General features: G+C 45.1%; 1 protein-coding gene across 2 annotated transcripts in view, besides 1 other annotated feature; it reads left to right on the forward strand.

The window, feature by feature from the left end:
- NHS (NHS actin remodeling regulator) overlaps positions 1,850-19,996 on the forward strand; it is a 360,795-nt gene continuing 342,648 nt past the window's right edge. For both annotated transcript variants that reach the window (NM_001291867.2, NM_198270.4), the window contains exon 1: positions 1,850-2,972. In NM_001291867.2, the coding sequence (NP_001278796.1) occupies positions 2,408-2,972 (565 nt within the window). In that variant the 5' untranslated portion in view covers positions 1,850-2,407. The remainder of the gene's footprint in view (positions 2,973-19,996) is intronic.
- Positions 12,436-12,977: an enhancer, noted in NCBI's record as "OCT4-NANOG hESC enhancer chrX:17403909-17404450 (GRCh37/hg19 assembly coordinates)". NCBI's record gives its function as "activates a minimal SCP1, AML or CMV promoter by ChIP-STARR-seq in naive and primed H9 embryonic stem cells {active_cell/tissue: H9 hESC(naive and primed)}" and the evidence as "EXISTENCE:reporter gene assay evidence [ECO:0000049][PMID:30033119]".

Raw genomic sequence — 19,996 nt, forward strand, 5'->3', positions numbered from 1 at the left:
TGAACCCTTTCTCTCCTGGGCCTTTGCCCTTCCTTTCTGATCACTTATTTTGGGAGCCCTGGAAGGAACTTGCCAATAATCTGAAACTCCCTTTAGGAGTGAGAGTCCCACACCACTTATTCATTGCCCCTGTCAATGCTCAGATGGGCCCGCTCCACTGGCACCCTTGCTATTAATAGGACAGTGCTAGGTAAGGGAGAGTGAGAGGCAGGGCAGCCTGTTGCCACAAGGCTTGCTAACCAGATGCCTTTAATATCCCTCATTGTTCTCCATGCTTCCATGTGTTTAGGGAGAAGTGTCTGGCTTGCCTACCCAGCAGAACTCATGTTCAGAATTTTGAACGTATTAAAAAGTCAAGCTCAATTTAAAAACAGCTAGCTCAACGCTTTTCAGATTTGTGAGATAAAAAACAAACCTTAAAAGACCTTGTTCCAAAATATTCTTTTCTTTCATTTTTTATTTGGAAACAAAACCAAATTTAAAGTTGCAAGAAATGTACAATGAACCCTGATATGCCCTTAACCTAGACTATTTTGAACATTTTGCCATATTTTGTTTTTTTCTCCCTTCATACATACACATCTTTATTATCATCATTCTTCTTCTTGTTGTTACTGAAACATTTATGTGTACTTTGCAGACATCATGGCCCTTTACCCCCAAAGCCTCAGCCTGGATCTTTTATGAACAAGGATATGTCCTTGCCGAAAATTTTGGTTTTTTTTTGTTTTTTTTTTTTTGTTTTGTAGAATAAGACAAGGGTCTGTTGAAGCCTTTAAAACCAAAGCGTGGGCCAGTCCAAAGTGCTGACTGTTGGAGCCTCCTCCCTCTCCCGCCTTTAGAGGGAGGAGAGGAGACACCACCGCAGGTCTGGAGGACTTTATTGTTGCCATAAAACATATTTTTTCCATGTTCTCTTTAGAAACACGAAAAGAGGCTGCATTCCCAAGATCTGGCTTGTGGCTTTAAAATAAAAAATATTTTTACAGTATACTTTTTGGAGGCATGAAAGCACGTGTTTTATTAACATTTCCCAAACTCTTTTTACTGACGGCATACAGCCTGCAGCCTGCTGCAATCGAAAATGCATGCCTTTTTAGAAATTATACCTTTCAGTTAACTGAAGGGGAAAACTTTCCCTTCTTCTGTAAATCATCATCTCTCTGATGGAGAACTTTAAAAATCCTGTGTATGATCAGCACAGTAGGGTGACGAGGAGGTAATGCCGTTTATCTCACCCAACGTGCAATGAGTTTCGTAAGCAGTTTTCTGGGGATTTTGCTCATTGGTGGTTTGGGTCTCATTCACGATATTCTATAGAGCCCGTGCCCAAAACAGGGGGCCACGTGATGCCTGGGAAGGGGTATAAACAGCACTCTGGCTGCTCTGGCCACATGGAGATGCGCCTACGCCCTTTGCCCTCCCCAGTTGTCTCCTTGCGTTCATAGAGCCCGGGGATCTCCAAGGAGCAGCCCAGTTTTCCCTGTAAGAACCCAAAGGTCTTGTACAGAGCTGGAATTCGGCGAAAAACTTGCTCCAACACGCCAAATCTGCCGCATCCTCAATACCCCACCCTCTTCCCTCTGCGCTTACTGCCCACACCCCTACTCCCAACTTGAGGACTCCCCGCCCCCACCACGCTGACAGTCTCAATTCCAACCCCTTGGATGTGAGGAAGTGTCTTTGCGCCTGAACGCGCCCAGCACGGCGAGGCCACCAGTGACTCCCAGCGGCCGCACAGGGCGCTGCGCCCCCCTCGCCCCGGCCTCCCCCGCCCTGCGTCCGCCCCGTCACCCCCGCGCGGCCTCCTGCGCCCGGGCTGGAGGCAGATTCCTCTCTCCGGGTTTTCAGAGCGCCTTTCCGAAACCTCCTCCCCGCCCAGCCAGGGAGAGAGATCCCGGGCGCAATCGCTCCCCGGAGCGGCCGAGGGGCGCGCGGGGAGAGGCCTGCGCCGGGGTACTTTCAAACTGAGGCGCGCGCACACACTCACACCCACCCACCCACTCACCCACACACACACAGACACACGCACGCCCATTTATATAGGCGGCGGCGACGGCAGTGGCCGGGGTGGCGACGGCGAGCACAGAAACGATGGAGTTGAGCCAGTCGACCCTGGTTGGAAGCAAGTGAGAAGAGACCAGGCGCACCCCTAAATTTCTGTGCGGAGCGCTTGTCATCCTCCCCAGGGAACGGTGCACCCAAAGGAGGACTGGCTGGACTGATTTGCTAGGGAGAGGGCGGGGAAGAGGAGGCAAGGTGAGCAGAGAAGCCCCCTGCGTATCCGGACTGCCAGATCGCGCTTTTGCCGGACTCCTGCCCCCTCCCTGCTCAGGTGGGCGCGCCCGGTCTCCAGCTCACAGGGGCGCTTGGAGGAGACCAGAAAGTCGCCGCCTGGCTGCGCGGGATGCCTTTCGCCAAGCGGATCGTGGAGCCGCAATGGCTGTGCAGGCAGCGGCGCCCTGCGCCCGGCCCAGCAGTGGACGCGAGCGGAGGCAGCGCTGAGCCGCCGCCGCCCTTGCAGCCGCCGGGCCGGAGGGACCTGGACGAGGTCGAGGCGCCAGGGCCAGAGGAGCCAGCCCGCGCCGTCCCTGCACCTTCAGGGCTGCCACCGCCGCCGCCGCCACTGCCCGCGCCGGCCGACCAGACTCAGCCGCCGCACGGAGAGGCGTCCGTGGCTGGCGAGGAGAGCACGGCGGGGATCCCGGAGGCGGCGCCCGCAGCCGGCGAGGCGTCCTCGGCGGCGGCGGCGGCGGCCGTGCTGCTCATGCTGGACCTATGCGCGGTCAGCAACGCCGCTCTGGCCCGTGTCCTCCGGCAGCTCTCGGACGTGGCCCGGCACGCTTGCAGCCTCTTCCAGGAGCTCGAGAGCGACATCCAGCTCACCCACCGCCGCGTCTGGGCGCTGCAGGGCAAGCTCGGCGGCGTGCAGCGCGTCCTCAGCACGCTTGACCCTAAGCAGGAGGCAGTGCGTGAGTACCCGCGCCGTCCGCCCGCCAGGCTATGGGTTTCTGCGCCGCACCCTCGCGCCCTCCCCAGCAGCGGCAATCCCAGCCCCGCGGCGCCGCTCCGGTTGCAGCTTGCACCTTACTACTCTCGCCTTCCCACCCTTCCCATCCCCTGGGACCCACCCCAATCCTCCTGGGGCTGAGTGGCTGGGCTGGACCCCGATTCAGTGATGCAGACGTGGACGGTGGAAAGTTAAAAGGGCGACCTCTGAAGTCGCAGGCAGCGTGGGCTGAGAAGGAGCAGAAAGGGAGCGTTTATGGGGAGCACAGGAGGCAGAGAGGGTCTGTCCTTCACCACCGGGGCTCGCCTTTCACGTCCTTCACGGGGCGTAGGGAGGAGGGTTGCAACTCCTGTGGTTTCCAGAAGCCCAGCCCTGAGCCCTGTAGCCCACACCATGCATGTTCAGGGTTGGGGGTTCCAGGAGTAGTGAGTGTTCTTTTGAGACTGCTGCAGCACCGCGGCTGTTTCGTCACTCGCTGTGACCTCAGGTGCTGCCCCGAGCTCCGAACTTGTGCCTTGCCCTCGTGTGCGACGTAGCGTGGCGCTGCTCGCCTCCTAGACTGAACTTCGTAGTGCTTCTGCCGAAAACCCTTGTGGCCCGGAGGGGCCGCGGGGAGGGTCAGGGAGAGATGAGGGTGGGAGTGTCAGGGGCCCCGGGGAGATGGAGGAGACCCCTGGGCATCTTTTCTGCTCTGAACAGCCCAGGGTTCCTACTAAATGGCTCTGTGCCATCTGCCCGCAGAGGATCCCACAGACTATCTTCCTCCTCCCCGGTGCACTGTCGCCCAAATTTACTGGCACGTGGACTTAGGTATGAACTAGTCTGCTAGGCGGGCTGCAGGGAAACGACGAGGAAGGAAGTCTGGGAGACCCCTGGGCGTCTTTGCTGTCCGTTGACTTCGCTTTTACGACACCCAAGGGCTCCCAATAAATAGTCATTCTATGTCATCTCCCTTCCAAGGGCGGTCCCCTTGGCTCCGGATCGTCCAAATCTGGCGACGGCAGAATCATTTAGGAACGACCCAGGAGGTAGACAGGGGCGCTGGGTTGGCGCGACGGTCCTTTGGCGCCTAGTCAGGCTGCGACGCTCGCGGCGAAGGTGATGTCAGCGGCTCTGACTTACGTAAGAAGCTTCCTAGGTTGCTGCCGCAGCTGCGCCGGTGCGCAGTGGCCTAGGAGCGCGCGGGGCGGAGGCGCTTTGGAGGCATCCTTCCCTGGGGATTTCCGGGCACCTCTGCCCCACAGCCCAGCTCAGCCTCCCAGCGGTCCCTGCCCGCCCGCGTGTTCTCTCCCTCTTCCCCTCCTCCTCCGAAAAACCCTTTGAACCCCGTCCCGGGAATTCACTGCTTTTCTGCAATAACAATAGTAATAAGCGTAATGAATAAATGATGTGCTCGATCGGTTTTCGCAGCTATAAAAGACCCGGAGTTGGGTTAATGACTGGTTGTTTAAAAGGGCAATTCCGGGGATGAGTTCTGGAAAGAATTAGGACTGCCGTAGGCCAAGTCGTATTTTACTTTTGGGACTTGAAATGAGCGCTTTAATCCTGCCTCCTTTTTACCCCAAACCACACAGCAGGGACAGGCCCTTCACTTTCAACAGCGCAGGTATCTGGGGAGTGCGGTTGTGGGAGTGGTGATTTCACTTCAAAAGAACTGGAGGGAAGTTTTGCAGACTGTTGAGTGGTGCATACATTTCCCGTGTGTGTGTGTGTGTGTGTGTGTGTGAGACACACCTCTCCTTAAGTTAGATTTCACGCGAATGAAACTCACTGCCAGAGCAGAATGTGCCCACTTCTTTCTCTCTTTAGATGCAGCAGTGGGCAGTTATGTACCTGGAACGTGTCAGAGTTCTTTCAAGTCCTTTTAACTGTTTGGGGTACAAACTAATAGTTAGTAGAGATAAGAGAGGATCTTGAGTGTGTGCATATAGTTGGTGAATATATACTCTATACATATTTGTACATGAATAATAAAGATGGGGCTGATTTCTACCTGGGATAGATTTAAAATCTCATATTATTTTAAATTTTATTTTCTAAAATGCTATCTCCACACTTTATGTCCAGATCTCTCTCTTCTCTTGTTCATTTAAATTTGGGATGGCATTGTTTTTGTTTGATGTCATAAAAGGCATTACCTTTGGGAGAAAAAACACACTATTATGTGTCTTGGTTTAGGTTTCCTAGAATGCAGAGCCTGAGACAAGGATTTCGATGCAATTAACTTATTTGGGAAGGGTTCCCTGGAAGCACAGAGAGGGGGTAGGGAAGTGAGACAGGAAAGGGAGGAAAGAGGAAAGCCAGTACACCATGTAAGCTGGTTAGCCCTGTGGGCAACTGGGGTTCAATCCAGCTGGCGACCCTCTGAGCACACACCTCAAATGTGTTCCACTAATGATTAAAGAAGCTGGAGTATTTATGCACCAGCTTCTTCTTCCCACAGATGGAAGGTAGCACCTGGAGCATGAACTCCATGGCTTCTGGGTCTTGCCCCACATGTAGTCCCAGCATGCACCCAGGGCCAGGTAGAGAGATGCAAAAAGCCTATGATGTGCACAGGAATGTTGACAGAGGTCCTCTGGGGAGGGCAAAGTAGCTGTGGGTCGGTCACTAGCGGCATCAGCTGCATTATGCATCTATCTCCCTTTAGTATTGCTCAGGCCTAGGGGAGTTTGAAAGGGAGAGGAAGCCTAAAAGTAAAACTTACTCTTTTTTCTCTTCCTTTGAGAGTGCCTTCACACCACCTGTATATCCTTGTCACCTGATCCTCATTCCCCTGCGTAATCTGCTTGCTATTTCATCCTTGGACAGCTGCTTCCTGTTGCCCTGAGACAGGCTGGGGGGCTTCTTGCAGGGGCAACATGATCTGATGTACACTTTGGAAGAGTCACTCTGGAAGCAAGTCTGGTGGCTAGTAAACCAGTTAGACACTGTGACTGGTGATGGTGGCTAGGACTAGGGAGGTAGCTGTAGAGACGGTGAGAAGTGGTTAGATTCTGAATGCATTTTGGAAATAGGATTGCCAAGACTTAACTGATTTGATTGGGTACAGGTTGTGGAAAAAAAAAATAATTTAGGATGACTCCTAGTTTGTTGTTTTTGCTTGAAAAGCTTAAATAACTTGTAGACTGTGGCTGGGCACGGTGGCTCACGCCTGTAATCCCAGCACTTTGGGAGGCCGAGGCGGGCAGATCGCCTGAGGTCAGGAGTTCGAGACCAGCCTGGCCAACATGGTGAAACCCCGTCTCTACTAAAAATACAAAAATTAGCCAGGCGTGGTGGCAGGCGCCTGTAATCCCAGCTACTTGGGAGGCTGAGGCAGGAGAAATGCTTGGATCCGGGAGGCAGAGGTTGCAGTTAGCCAAGATCGCGCCATTGCACTCCAGCGTGGGCAACAAGAGTGAGACTTCATCTCAAAATAATAGTAATAATAATAACTGGTAGAATGTATTACCATTTGTAGAAATGGGGAAGGCTAGTGGGAGAGTGAATATTTTCTTGTGGAGGGAATGGAATCAATAGTTTTATATTTGAGCCATGTTAAGTTTGAGATACCTGATGTGTCTTACATAATTACATGTGTGAGTTGAGAGGTCCAGGCTGGAGATGTGAATGTGAGACCTAAGCGTAGAGACAGTTTGTGAAGCCTTGGAGCTAGACACAGTGAAGCTAGTAAAGAAAAGGAGGCCAGGACTTAGCCCAGGGCAGTCCAACTTTGAAAGCTTCACAGGGAAGGAGAAAGGCTGAGAAAGGACAGCCAGAAAGCTAGAAGGAGAATCAGAAGAGTGTAGTATGGTGCAAGCCAGGAGATGTTTCCAGAACTGGGGAGAAGTCAACTTGGTCAAGTGCTTCTGAGAGGAAGATAAGCACTGAGAAGAGGCTATTGAGTTTGGTTACTTGTAATTAATTAGTGGCCTTGAGAGGTGCCATTTCATTGGAGGGGTGGAGATGAACGCCAAATCAGAGGTGTTGGAGAAAGAATAGGAGAGGTGGAGAGGAAATAGCAACTACAGAGAGCTTTTTTTTTTTTTTTCACTCTATCACCCAGACTGGGTACAGTGACTTGATCATGACTCACTGCAGCCTTGACCGCCCCAGGCTCCCATCTCGGCCCCCCAAGTAGCTAGGACTACAGGTGTGCACCACTACGCTAGGCTAATTTTGTTTTTTTTCATAGAGACAGGGTTTCGCCATGTTACCCGGGGTGGTCTCGAACTCTTGCGCTGAAGCAGTCCTCACGCCTCCCAAAGTGCTGGGATTACAGGCGTGAGCCACCGCACCCAGCTCTACAGACAACTCTTGTAAGGCGTTTCACTCTGAAGGGGAGTGGAGAAATGGAGCAGTGGCTGGAAGGGAATACAGTATCAAGGAAAAATGTCTTAAAAGGTATTGATATTTTAGGCATGTTCAGATTCCAAGAGAAGGGTGAATTGATGATCCTGGGGGAGAGAACTGAATAATTATGGATATCATTGAGAAGCCGAGAGGGGATGAGATGAGAGCACCATTTCATCCATGGCCGCTGGAGGGAAGCTGAAGGATACGAGCAGGGAGGCAGGTGGGCTGGTGAACTGCTGGTGGTGGGATGGGGTATTCTTCTATAAGGGGATCTATTTTCTCTGTAAAGTATGGGGTGAGGTCATCAGCTGAGAGTGTTGGCAATGTGAGGAGAGAAGGGAGGGTGTTAATAAGTTGTCTCAGGGAGGGAACGTGAAGGCATTAAGGAAGTATATTGGGATGATCTTACTGTGTTGAGAGCCTTCTGAGACTGATGGTCATCAATTTGAAGAGTCCAACTTTTCAGTCACTGAAACCTGAGACTTTGGAAATACTTCATGGGCTTTGACTCCAGGATGTTCATCTTTAGACATTTTAATGTTGCTGGCATTTTGGTTGCCGTTGATTTATTTAGTTACTGAGTTTTAAAATAAATTTTATATTAAAGTTTAACATTCCCACAGAAAAGCGCACAGACCATAAGTGTTCGTCTTGGTTGATTTTCACAAAGTGAACAGCTCATGTAAACACCACTCAGATCAAGAAATAAAATGTTACTCCACCTGAAACATCCTCCCCTCCCTTCAAGCCACCTTCAGTCAATATCCCCCTTCCCAAAAGTAACAACTCTCCCAATTTCTACCCTTATCAATTAGATGTTCTTGTTTTTGAAGTTTATATAAGTGAAATCATATATACTTCTTTCTAGCATTATTCACTTAACATTATGTATGTAAGATTCTTTCATCTTATTGCATATATAGCTGATTGTTCATTCTCATTGCTGAATAAAATTCCATTGTGTGTACATACCACAATTTCTTGATCCATTCTCCTGATGATGGACATTTGGGTTGTTTCCATTTGGGAGCTATTGCGTGAACAATTTTTTCTACATGCTTCTTGATGAACTTATGTATACACAGTTATTTGGTATGTATCTAAAAGAGGAATTGCTGGATCAAAGGGGATGATTTGTTTGGCTGAACAGTTTTCTACACTGGTTGTACCAATTTATAACCCTGGAAGTATATGAAAGTTCTGGTTGCTCCACATCCTCACTGATATTGGTATTGATGTTTAAATTGTAGCCACTTTGGTGGATGTGTAATGAAATCTCATACTGGTTTTGATTTGCATTTCTCTAATGGCTTGTGAGACTGAACACCATTTTATATAATTTTTAACTACCTAGATATTCTCCTTTGTGGATTACTTGTTCAAGATGTTTGCTCATTTTTATTTCTCTTTTCTCTCTCTTTTTTAACTTTTATTTTAGGTTCAGGGGTACATGTGCGGGCTTGATATATAGGTAAATCATGTGTCGTGGTGGTTTGGTATACAAATTATTTCATCGCCCAGGTAATTGCTCATTTTTCAGTAAGGTTCTTTGCACCTTTTCTTACTGTCTTACAGATGTCTTTTATGTATTTTGAATATGAGTCATTTGTCAGCTGTATGTATTTCCAATACCTTCTCTTACTCTGTGGCTTGCCTTTTCAATCTCTTAGTGTTATATTTTGAGGGCAGAAGTTCTTATTTTTGTATAGTCCAGTTTATCAATCCTTTTCTTTATGGTTAGTGTGTTTTTGTGTTCTCTTCTGTTTGTTCTTAAACAAATTCTTCACCAACCTCGAGGTCATGAAGATATCTCAAAAGTTCTAGAAATTTTTCATTTTGCCTTTGTCATTTAGATCCATGTTTCATATGGAATTGATATTTGCAAATGGTGTGAGGTAGGGCTCAAGATTACTTTTTTCCCAAATATGGATGCACAATTGGCCTACTGCCACTTATTGAAAAGACCATCATTTCCCCATTGTACTGCAGTGACACTTTTGTTACCTCCCCCACCTATGACTTTTCTAGAACTCTGTGCTAACCTTTATCTTAGCTTTTCTCATTCTGTACAGTAGACATTGTTGGTGCCCTGTCTATATTCCATCTCTCATGCTGAAGGCTACTTACTGCAAACTCCTGTAACTCTGCCTGGAACTTTTGTTTTGTACTGGCTTATGGACCATGCTTGGCCTTGCTTGTTGGGAAGGCCAGAGGTGCCAGCAGGTTAATGCCTCAGAAGCAGCACTCAACCAAATATGGACAGGGAGTTGGTGGATGAATGCACCAGTGCCATTACTCCTTGGATAGGAGAACTCTGCAGCATTTTCTCCACCATTTCTCAGAATTCTCAAGTAGGACTGAGCTCCAGTTACCCACAGTGATGACTTATTTGATGACACATCCTATCTTTGCTGTCTTCCTTTCTCCATCTCACTTCTTCACTCACCTATGGGTGTTTCTGGAGTCACCTCCCACATAAACTACTTGCACTCAAACCTGTACTTGCAGTCATAGGGTCTACTTATGGGGGAACTGCAACCAAGACAATCTATTTAATCTTTAAACTGTGAAGGCAAAGACCTAGGGCTGGGGGTATGGTAGAGATGAAGTTTCTCACTCTTTTTCCTTAAACTATTTAGCCCAGGATTATTATATTAGCCACACGCCCAGCCCCTCCCAGAACACTCTATAGTGTGTGTATTAGTCTGTTCTCTCACTGCTATAAAAAAACTACCTGAGACTGGGTAATTTATAAAGAAAAGAGGTTTAATTGACTCACAGTTTTGCAGGCTGTACAGGAGCCATGGCCAGGAAGGCCTAAGGAAACTTACAATCATGGCAAAAGGAAAAGGGAAAGCAAGCACATCTTCACATGGTGGCAGGAGAGAGAGCAAGAGTGAAGGGGGAAGTGCTACACACGTTTAAACAACCAGCTCTCAAGAGAACTTACTCACTGTCACTAGAACAGCAAGTGGGGAATCTGCCCCCATGATCCAGTCACCTCCCACCGTGTCCCTCCTCTTACATTGGGGATTATAATTCAACATGAGATATGGGTGGGGATACAGAGCCAAACCATATCAGTGGGTCTGGAAATAGCTGTTACTACCATTAGTGGATGCACAGTTTGAATCCCTGTCTTGGCATGGGAGAGCTTCAGTGCTTCAGCAGTGAGAAGGGTAACAAAAGGAACTCAAATCTATGATAATGAAGACATACCCCCTAAATTTCTCCATGTTCTATTGACAAGCCTTTGAGAGTGTTGTTTATTGCCCTTTGGAATGCATAAGTGACAGCCCCAGGAGATCCAAACTACCTATTTGAGAAGGATAATTTTCAGCCAGAGCAGACACAGAAACTGCTAACCTCTGAAAGGAACCAGGAGGTAATACATTGGGTGAATTGATCATTTTGGGTTGGTGTGGCAACACTGATCATGGGCTCATTCTGGTTTTGGAAGGATGGTCCTGCTTTTCCTTCCCTTTCTGTTCAGTCTACCACTTGTAAAAAACCTTCACAGTTTGGTTAGTGTGTTCTCTTGGATGTTTCTGTAATTGTGGTTAAGTTTCTTTTCCTCCTGGCCCTGCTCAGTGAGCTTCTGTGAGGCATTATGAGATCCTAACAGCTTCATTGAAAGCTGCTTTGAAACCCATCACAGAAGAGCTGAGAAGAACACAATCTTTCAAGGGTTTAATAATTCATGGTTGTAATTTCCTCATAACCAGTAACAGCATCACATTTCTTTCTAGACTTTTCTTGTTATACTGGATTGGGCTTTTAAATCAAAACTCCTGAATTACTTTATCTAAGAAATCCTTGAGATTCTGTTGGACTGATATTACTAAGATGATAATGATAAAGATTTCTTTCTTCCTGTGTGTGGAGGCCTTTTCTACACAATGCCATCAGGACAGTGTAAAGTCCACATAAACTCTCAGAAACGTCTTCAGTCTCAGCACTTCTAGTCTAGTTTTAATGGGCATTACTTTTAAAAGGCAATGACATGTAAAAATCTCTCCTATTGTCCCATGTTAGTCCCAGAGTCTTGAAGATTCACTGATTTTGTATGACATTTTGAAATTTTAGGGTCAAGGACAATTTTAAATATAGTTGGAATTTTATTTGATAGTTCAGCTTAATTTCTTTTTGCTTTATTAAAAATTGTGGGGCACAAGATTTTGAGGGACATTCTATTAAAAAATCATAGGAGGAGTAAGACTGGAACAAACAATCACAAAAATTCCTGAACGTTTTTCTTGCATCAAGAATTCTTCATGAATCCTATCTTAATAATAAGTGGAAATAAAAATAATGAGGTAGGAATGGTTCCTGAATGTAAGGATCTCATTCTGGGGTTGAAATTTGTTGAAACAAAGTTTTGGAGAGCCCACCCACCAGACTAAGCCCAGAGGGCAGGGAAACTGTCTACTTTATTTTTGTGAATGACTAAAAGAGATATGGTCAAGTTTTGTTTCTGACATCTCTCAATCCATTAATGTACATGAGGTTTGGCTGTATTGAATGAGTAATCTGAGGACCTGGGCATTCATGTGCTAAAAAATTGCTTAATTCTGGGAGGCCAAGGTGGGAGGATTGCTTGAACCCAGGAGTTCGAGACTAGACTGGGCAACATGGTGAAACCCCATCTCTACAAAAAATACAAAAATTGGCCGGGCATGATGGTATGTGCCCGTAGTCCCATCTACTCAGGAGTCTGAGATGGGAGGGTCGCTTAAATCAAGGAGGTGGAGGTTGCAGTAAGCCAAGATCATGCCACTGCATACCAACCTGGGTGGCAGAGTAAGACTATATCCAGAAAAAATTTTTACTTAATTATTATTATTTTTTATTTTGTTTTCATTTTTTGTGTGTTCTAAGCTTAATTGGTGACACATGTGACATCTCAAATCATGAGATTGCTCCTCAGTTTTTAAAAACACTACATAATATTCCCCTGCACAAACGTGCTCAAAGCATTTAACCACCTTTTACCCATATGGTAGCATTTTCTTGGTTTTAGTTATTATAAACAAATCTCATACAAACAGTTTCCATATATATATTTGCTTATATGTATGAATTTTTAAGAATGGTTTCTTAAAAGTGTAATTGCTGGATCTAAAGATATCTGTGCCTACATCCTTCAAAGTGAAATTAACCAAGAATAAAGTTAATTTAACAAGAGTCCTAGAATCTTGGAATCATAGAGTTGGGAAAGACCTTAGTACCCATAGAATCAAACTTCTCACCCAGAGTGGGAATCTTTTTTAAGATGTCCCAAATGGCAGCTCATCTGGTTTCCATGCCCTCTGAGACTCCAGGGAGTGGGAAGTGGCCACCCCTGCCCCAACTGTATTGCTGGATAGCTCCCATTCTCAAACAGTCCTTATCTACATTGAGAGTGAATCTGTCTTTTTGTAATGCAAGCCTTTTCATCTTTGTTCTGGTGTCTCATGTCATACGGAATCTACCTATAACTGCTTTTCTAGAACATCTTTTAAGGGTCTGGAGGTCACTGTTATGGCACTGTCTAAGCTTTCTTCATCCCAGGTAAAACAACTTCAATTCCTTCAACCAGGCTTCCTAATGCCAAGTTTCCAGGCCATTCCCACTCTGGTTGTCCTCTACCACAGGTGCAGGGCACAAATGGACCCATTCCTGTCTTTATAAGAATGTCCCAGGCCAGGCGTAGTGGCTCATGCCTCTAATCCCAGCACTTTGGGAGGCTGAAGCAGGTGGATCACTTGAGGTCAGGAGTTCAAGACCAGCCTGACCAACATGGTGAAAACCCGTCTCTACTAAAAAATACAAAAATTAGCTGGGCGTGGTGGCATGCGCCTGTAATCCCGGCTACTTGGGAGGCTGAGACAGGAGAATCACTTTGAACCCAGGAGGCGGAGGTTGCAGTGAGCCGAGATTGCACCATTGCACGCCAGCCTGGGCAGCAAGAGCAAAACTCTGTCTCAAAAAAAAAAAAAAAAAAAAAGAAAAAGAAAAAAAAGAATGTCCCTAATGTGGTCCTTGTTTTAACCATTGCATGACACTGTTGGTGTAAAAATGCTCTTATGGCCCAGCAAACTCCCTTCCTTTATAGTGGCAGTTTTTAACATGAGGTTTTCTTTATTCCATGTGTGCAGTTGGTGTTTTGAACTTAAATTTCACAAGAGTCTCCCATTGTCTCTGTTAAACTGAATCTTGCTTGCTTTGCTCTTTCATTTCCAATCAGTGGTGATGGTTTAAAATCTTGATTCAATGTGTCAGCTACTGCTCACAGTATTTTGCTCTCTGCATACACCATGAACAAGATTCTATGCTGTCACCCACATCTTCGATAAAATTATTGTTCAGACGGATTCAAGGCCAGAGCCCACTGGCAGGCAGTACTAGCAATGTTTCTCCAAGTTGAGATCTATTAATCAACATTCTTTGGGTATCATTGTTGCAGCAGCCACAGGTGCACTCCCCTACCTTCCTGTTCAAATCACATTTCTCCACCTTACTCACAATATCTATCATCACGAGCAACTGTTAAGTGGTTTGCTGAAATCAAGATACCATATGTCTGTAGCATTCTTTTGATCTCCCGGTGTAATTACCCTACTCAAAAGGGAAATGAGGTTAATCTGGCTCAAACTGGACTCAATTCCAGCAATCAGAGGGGCCATTTTAATTTTCTTATATATAATGGGTAAGGAGTTTATTTGGGGGAAATCTGCTTTGGCATGTTGGTCACAGAATAACTGTAACGTTGGACTACAAGGGGACTCTATGGGTCTTAGAGTTCATTTCTCTGACTCTAGAGTGTCAGAATGCTTTTCCCTTCCTTTCTTTTAAGGTACATGGATGTCCTTGTTCTCTGTTCCTTAAGGAAAGGTTGAAATTCATGACCTTTTGGCATTTGCTGAGGCTCAGTTTGAGTAACATTGGCAAGTGTCTGGTTTAACTAATTGTTGAGAAGCAAGAGAATATGTGGTTAAGAGAGTAGACTCTGAAGCTGGACTACATGGGTTCAAATCCCAGCTCCACTCCTTCAAAGCTGTATGACTCTGGACAATTTATTGAATTTTCTTTTCTTCATCTGCTATGGAGTGGAGATAAAAGCAGTACTGATTGCATCAGGTTGTTGACAAAACTAAGAAAGTCAAGGTGTGCAGGCACTGAGAACTGTGCTTTGCACATGGTTAGCCTCTGATAATTATTGGCTATTATTGGCTATTTTATTGATACTATAATTGGATCAGAGTAGGAGGTATGTGTTAATTTCTTTCAAGTAGGTGAAAACCTGTGCCTGAATCTGTGAAGTGCTGGGTCAGGGTAAAGTATACAGCTGACCAAGCAATGCTGTGTGTCTCTGCATGGTCAAAGATGTCTATTAAGGTTCTTTTGTTGTTGTTGTTGTTGTTGTGGCTTCTTTTTGTTATGCAGAAAAGTAGAGAAAAAATTGACCAATAATCTTATTATCCAGATTCATTCATTTATTACACAGCAGTCACTATTCTAGGCCCTTGAGTTTCATCAGTAAACAAAAAGTTACCAGGACCTTATGTTTCAATGGAGAGAGACAAATCCTAAATAATAAACACAATACATTTGACGAAATTACAAAACATGTTAGGAGGTAGTAAGTGCTGTGGGCAAAAAGAAACTAGAGCAAGGTGAAGGTGATCCAGAGATTTGGGGCGGGGTTACTATTTTAAATGGGGTGGTCAGGTGGGCCTCACTGAGGAAGTGGCATTTGAGCAAAGATTGGAAAGAGGTAAGGGTAAATTACATAGACTGCTGGAGGAAGAGTGTTCCAGTGGAGAGAAACAGAGCTAGTGCAAAGGCCCTGAGGTGAGAGCATGCCTGGTGTGATCCGGGGATGGCAAGGAGGCCAGGGTGGTGGATGAGGAGTTAGCAAGGAGGAGAGTAGGAGGATAAGAGGCCAGCAAGGAGAAATGGCAGTGGGGCGGATCACCTAGGGTCTAGTAGGCCATTGTGAGGACTTTGCCTTTTGCTCCGAGTGGAGTGGGTAGTCATTGAAGGCTTTTAAGCCCAGGAGAAACATGATTGATTTAGAGTTTAAAAGGATCACTTTGGGTATTGTGGCAAGAAGAGACTGCGGGAGAGGCAAGAGGGGTAGAAGCCAGGAGACCAAGTAGGAGGCTTTTGCAGTAATCCTGGTGAGAGACAGTGGTGGTCTGGTAAAAGTATTGAGAAGTAGAGCTGTTGATGGTTGTTTCATGTCTGGGGCTAGGCATGCAACTCATACAGAAGGGTACAACATTGAAAAGAACAAGAAAGCCCTCCTCTCCGCTCTCACTCTGCCAGACTTGCTCCAGACTTTTGCAAAACCATTGAATGTTGAGGAAGTAGGCACTTCTCCTACGGTCTTGTTGATTAATCTGCTGTCTTGGAAAAATTTAAAAAGTGTCCTAACTAATACTCTTTTTAAAAAATCAAGATATAATTTACATGCAGTGAAATGTACAGATCTTGATGAGTTTTAACAGCTGTATCCACCTGCATAACATACAACCCTATTAAGATAGAGAACATTCTCCTCACACCAGGCAGGTAATACTACTTTCAGGTAGGAAAGCAGTATTTGAACTCTGATAGCCTAGCACTATCCCCTACCAAGGTTGTTGTGTGAACATGGGCACAGAAGAAGATAATTCCATGGGGGGCTTCTGGGCTTTCGACCAAGACTAAGAATTAGTGATTCCATTTATAAGATATCCAAGACAAATTGAAATAGTGGAGTTTCCTCACTTTTGGTCTGATGGTGTTGGGCTGTTTATGACATCATCGTGCTGGATTTTAGGGAGAATCAGGTTTTTGACAAGGATAAAAATCTAGCCTCAGAGGTGCCAGGGGTAACTTAGAAGTAGGAGCCTTTTATTTTCTTATTTATTTATTTATTTATTTATTTATTTTTTGAGACAGAGTCTCGCCCTGTCATCCAGGCTGGAGTACAGTGGTGCAATCTCAGCTCACTGCAACCTCTGCCCACCGGGTTCAAGCAATTCTCCTGTGTCAGCCTCCCAAGTAGCTGAAATTATGGGTGCCTGCCACCACGCCCAGCTCATTTTTGTAGTTTTAGTAGAGATGGGGTTTTGCCATGTTGGCCAGGCTGGTCTCGAACTCCTGACCTCAAGTGATCTGCCCGCCTCGGCCTCCCAAAGTGCTGGGATTACAGGCGTGAGCCACCGCACCTGGCCAGTAGGAGCCTTTTCTACGATAAAGCTAAAATAACATTTTTAAAAAAAATGAAAAAAAAAAAAGACCTTGATACTCTCTGGTACATTTCTAAGTAGCAGGAAATACTGATTTGCAAACTGTGTTTTCAGCTCATGCTGATGCTTGAAGCCTGGATGGAGGACAAAATTGCTTAGAATTGGATTTATGACTGTCCTATCTAAGTGCATTCAGATGTGTGAAATAAGAAGCCCTATTCTAGAGTTCAGTTACTCTTGATTTTTCCTACTAGAAATCTAAGGGAAGGAAGAGGTAGTAGCTGTGAGGACAAATGACAGCCCATGAGATCTAATGTTCATTAGAATATAACATCAATATTTATGTTTCTCTCCAGTCTACATCTGGACTCTGTTCCTTGAGCCTGTATTTATATTTTAATAATGCGAGGAAAGCTTTATTTTCCTTTTAAATTTTGTGTCAGAGTTCTGCTACCTCAGCCCACCCCCTCCCCACCCCTGAAGTGATTCATTTACAAGATGGCGCATGTTTATTGAGAGTTTGATTCTAGAGATTAACTTCAAGAAGTGCATCATGAAGTGCAGCAGGAATAAATACCACAGAAATCCTTTTCCATGTGAGAAGTCATAGGGCTTTCTGCTGCATAAACAGGAGAGACGGAGGCTTCAAAGTTTGCGGCAATGTGGGGGAGAAGTGGGAAAACCTAGAAGAGACATTGGGAAGGGTTCCCTGGAAGATTTTCAAACAGTATCACTTGTGTTAAATGCCTTTGGTATGAGAAAAGAGATGTTGGAACCCTGCTCAGGTATCAGATGTCACCCAGTACTCATCTGGCAAACTTTTAGCCTTTGCTAATTAAAACTAATCCAATTGCATGAAGAAAAATATATTGCGTAAGCTTGCCTCTTGTGTGGCTTTATTTTAACCCTTTGCCCCATATCCTAATACCAGCGAATCTCAGGCTGGTTATAGGGTAGAAGACGATAATGAGAAATGGGGTTCACTTACAAATAAATTTCAGTCAAGACAATGAGTGGAGCAGGCTGTTAAGAATATTGGCTTGTAAATGTAAAATTGAAGCCCTTCTGGGTTTTCTTGATTGATTTGTCAATTCAAAGGTTTTAGTGGCTGTTGAGTGGGAAGGAAAATTAAAACAAACAAACAAACAGACAGACAGACACCCTCTTTTAATTATCAATTTATGCTTTGCTGTCTTTCCAAGTTGCTTTGTGTGCTTCTCTGTGGCCCGGCCAGCCTGGTTGGATCAAGCTTTGCATTTTTAAATCTTAGGTTCAAGGTTTGTTCTCTGAGGGACTGGAGTTTTGTCATGATCACATGCTTGTGTTCCTAACCTGAATGAACTTTCTAGTTAAGAGTATATCTCAGTCTTTGATTCTCTCAGTTCCACCACTTACCAGCTGTGTGACCTTGGACAAATTCTTACCTCAGTTTGCATATCTGTGAAATGGAGATACTATTGGTACTCATTTTATAGAGTTGTGTAGATTAAGTGATTAATCCATGGACAGTGCCAGCAGTGTATGGCATATACACAGTATACATACTATGGGCTAATACATGTAAGCCATTGATAGTACTACTTTTGTTGTTGTTTTATCATTATTATTATCAAGAGGCTTGGGTAAAGGATGTAGGTATAAAAATGGATAAAACCCAGCCCTGTGACTTCTGAACCAGTGTAAACGTTTTGGTCAGCTGGATCCATGGTGAAATGGGAAGAGAAGAATGCTGCCCATTTTCTGACTTGGCTCGTCTAACTCATGTTGTGAAGCACTGCAAGAACAATTTAGCATCTGGCTGCCATGACACTCTCATTCTTGGGGAGTGTGTACTTCTGCTGATGGGTGGAGGAGGTCTGGATGTGAATATTTGCCATCATGGAAGTGGTGGTGTAGAAATGCAAGCACCCATGCGTTTGCTTTGTGAGACTGTCTGTATCTTTTCCTATAATGACGATATCCTCTCCTATAATGACATGTCTTCTCTTTGTAGTCAGATATCAGGCATGGAACAGCTAGCAGAGGGGAGATTATGGATCTGGCATGGCAGAGAATGCCTAGGTGTTCACCAACTCCTTCCCTTTTGCTCCTGGGTGCATGGCTAGACTACATTTCCCAGCCTCCCTTGCAGTTAGTTGCAACTTTGTGACAGAGTTCTGTCCAATGGAATGTGGAAGTAATAATTGCTCCAATTGTAGGAAGGCCATATAAAAGCTCCTAAGCAACCCTCTGTAGTTTGTTTCTGTAGTTTGTTTCTTCCCCACTCTGCTGGCTGCATGCAGAGGGTTCAACAGATGATTCCGAGGCCCTAAGGGATGGTAGGGCCACCGTATGGAAAGAGCCTGGGTTCCTGAATCACCACATGAAAGGCTATCTGCCAACACTTGATTTGATTTCATGTGAGGAACAAGTAAACTTTTATTGTGAGATTTAGGGGATATTTGTTACAGCAGTTAGCCAACCATGACTAACACAGAGGTACAGTGCTGGGAGCAAAAAGGACCAGTTTTCCTGAAAATGCGCAGATGACAAAGTTACTCCAAAGTATTTGATGTTCCTTCTCTGAATAAAGGATGTACTAAACTGCAGAGTTTTCTTTTTTGAGAGATACAGAATTCCTATGTGTGACCGGAAGCCATGTAACAGCTTTCCTTGAGTAAGCAAATGGAAATAAAAACTTGTTAGCAGAGTTCCAGTTTCTAGAGAAATGTTGCTACCAAAAGAATTCATTCTGCCTCTCTCCCTTTCTCTCTCTCTTCATATATAAGTGATATAGATTGATTTGTGACATGCTTAAAACCTAATTATAATGCAAATAACGAATGTGCACAAATCATGTGTGTACAGCCTCAATGAATTTTTGCAAACTGAACACAGATTTAAAACTAGTACCTGGGACAAGATACAGAACATTTTCAGCCCTCTAGAAATCCTGCCAATGTTCTCTTCTGATCCTGCCTTCCCAAGGGTAGCCATCATCCTGACCTCTGACAGCATAGATTACATTGGCCTGTTTTGGAATCATATAGTATGTGCCTTTTCTATATCTAGATTTCTATATGTAAATTATATTTCATGATCCATTCATGTTGTTGCATGTAGTTGTAGTTCATTTATTTTCATTGCTGTATAGTATTCCTTTGTATGAGTATACCATGGTATGGGCATCTGGATAATTTCCATTGTGGGCTATTTTGAATAATGCTGCTGTGAATATTCTAGTTCCTGTCTTTTGCTGAATATACCTACACATTTCTGTTGGGTTAAAAACTTCTTTCCTTGAAGTTTTACAAAACTTTGTTCCTCAATAAGACATTTCAAGGCTGTGACAATGACTGTTCTTATTCCTTGCTGTACCTAGACTTTCTGATCTACACCAAGCAAAAGCTTTGATCTGTTTTTCTGTAATGTAAAAGATTATCACTGATGT

Source organism: Homo sapiens, chromosome X (genome assembly GCF_000001405.40).
Source record: "Homo sapiens chromosome X, GRCh38.p14 Primary Assembly".
Classification (NCBI taxonomy): Eukaryota; Metazoa; Chordata; class Mammalia; order Primates; family Hominidae; genus Homo; species Homo sapiens.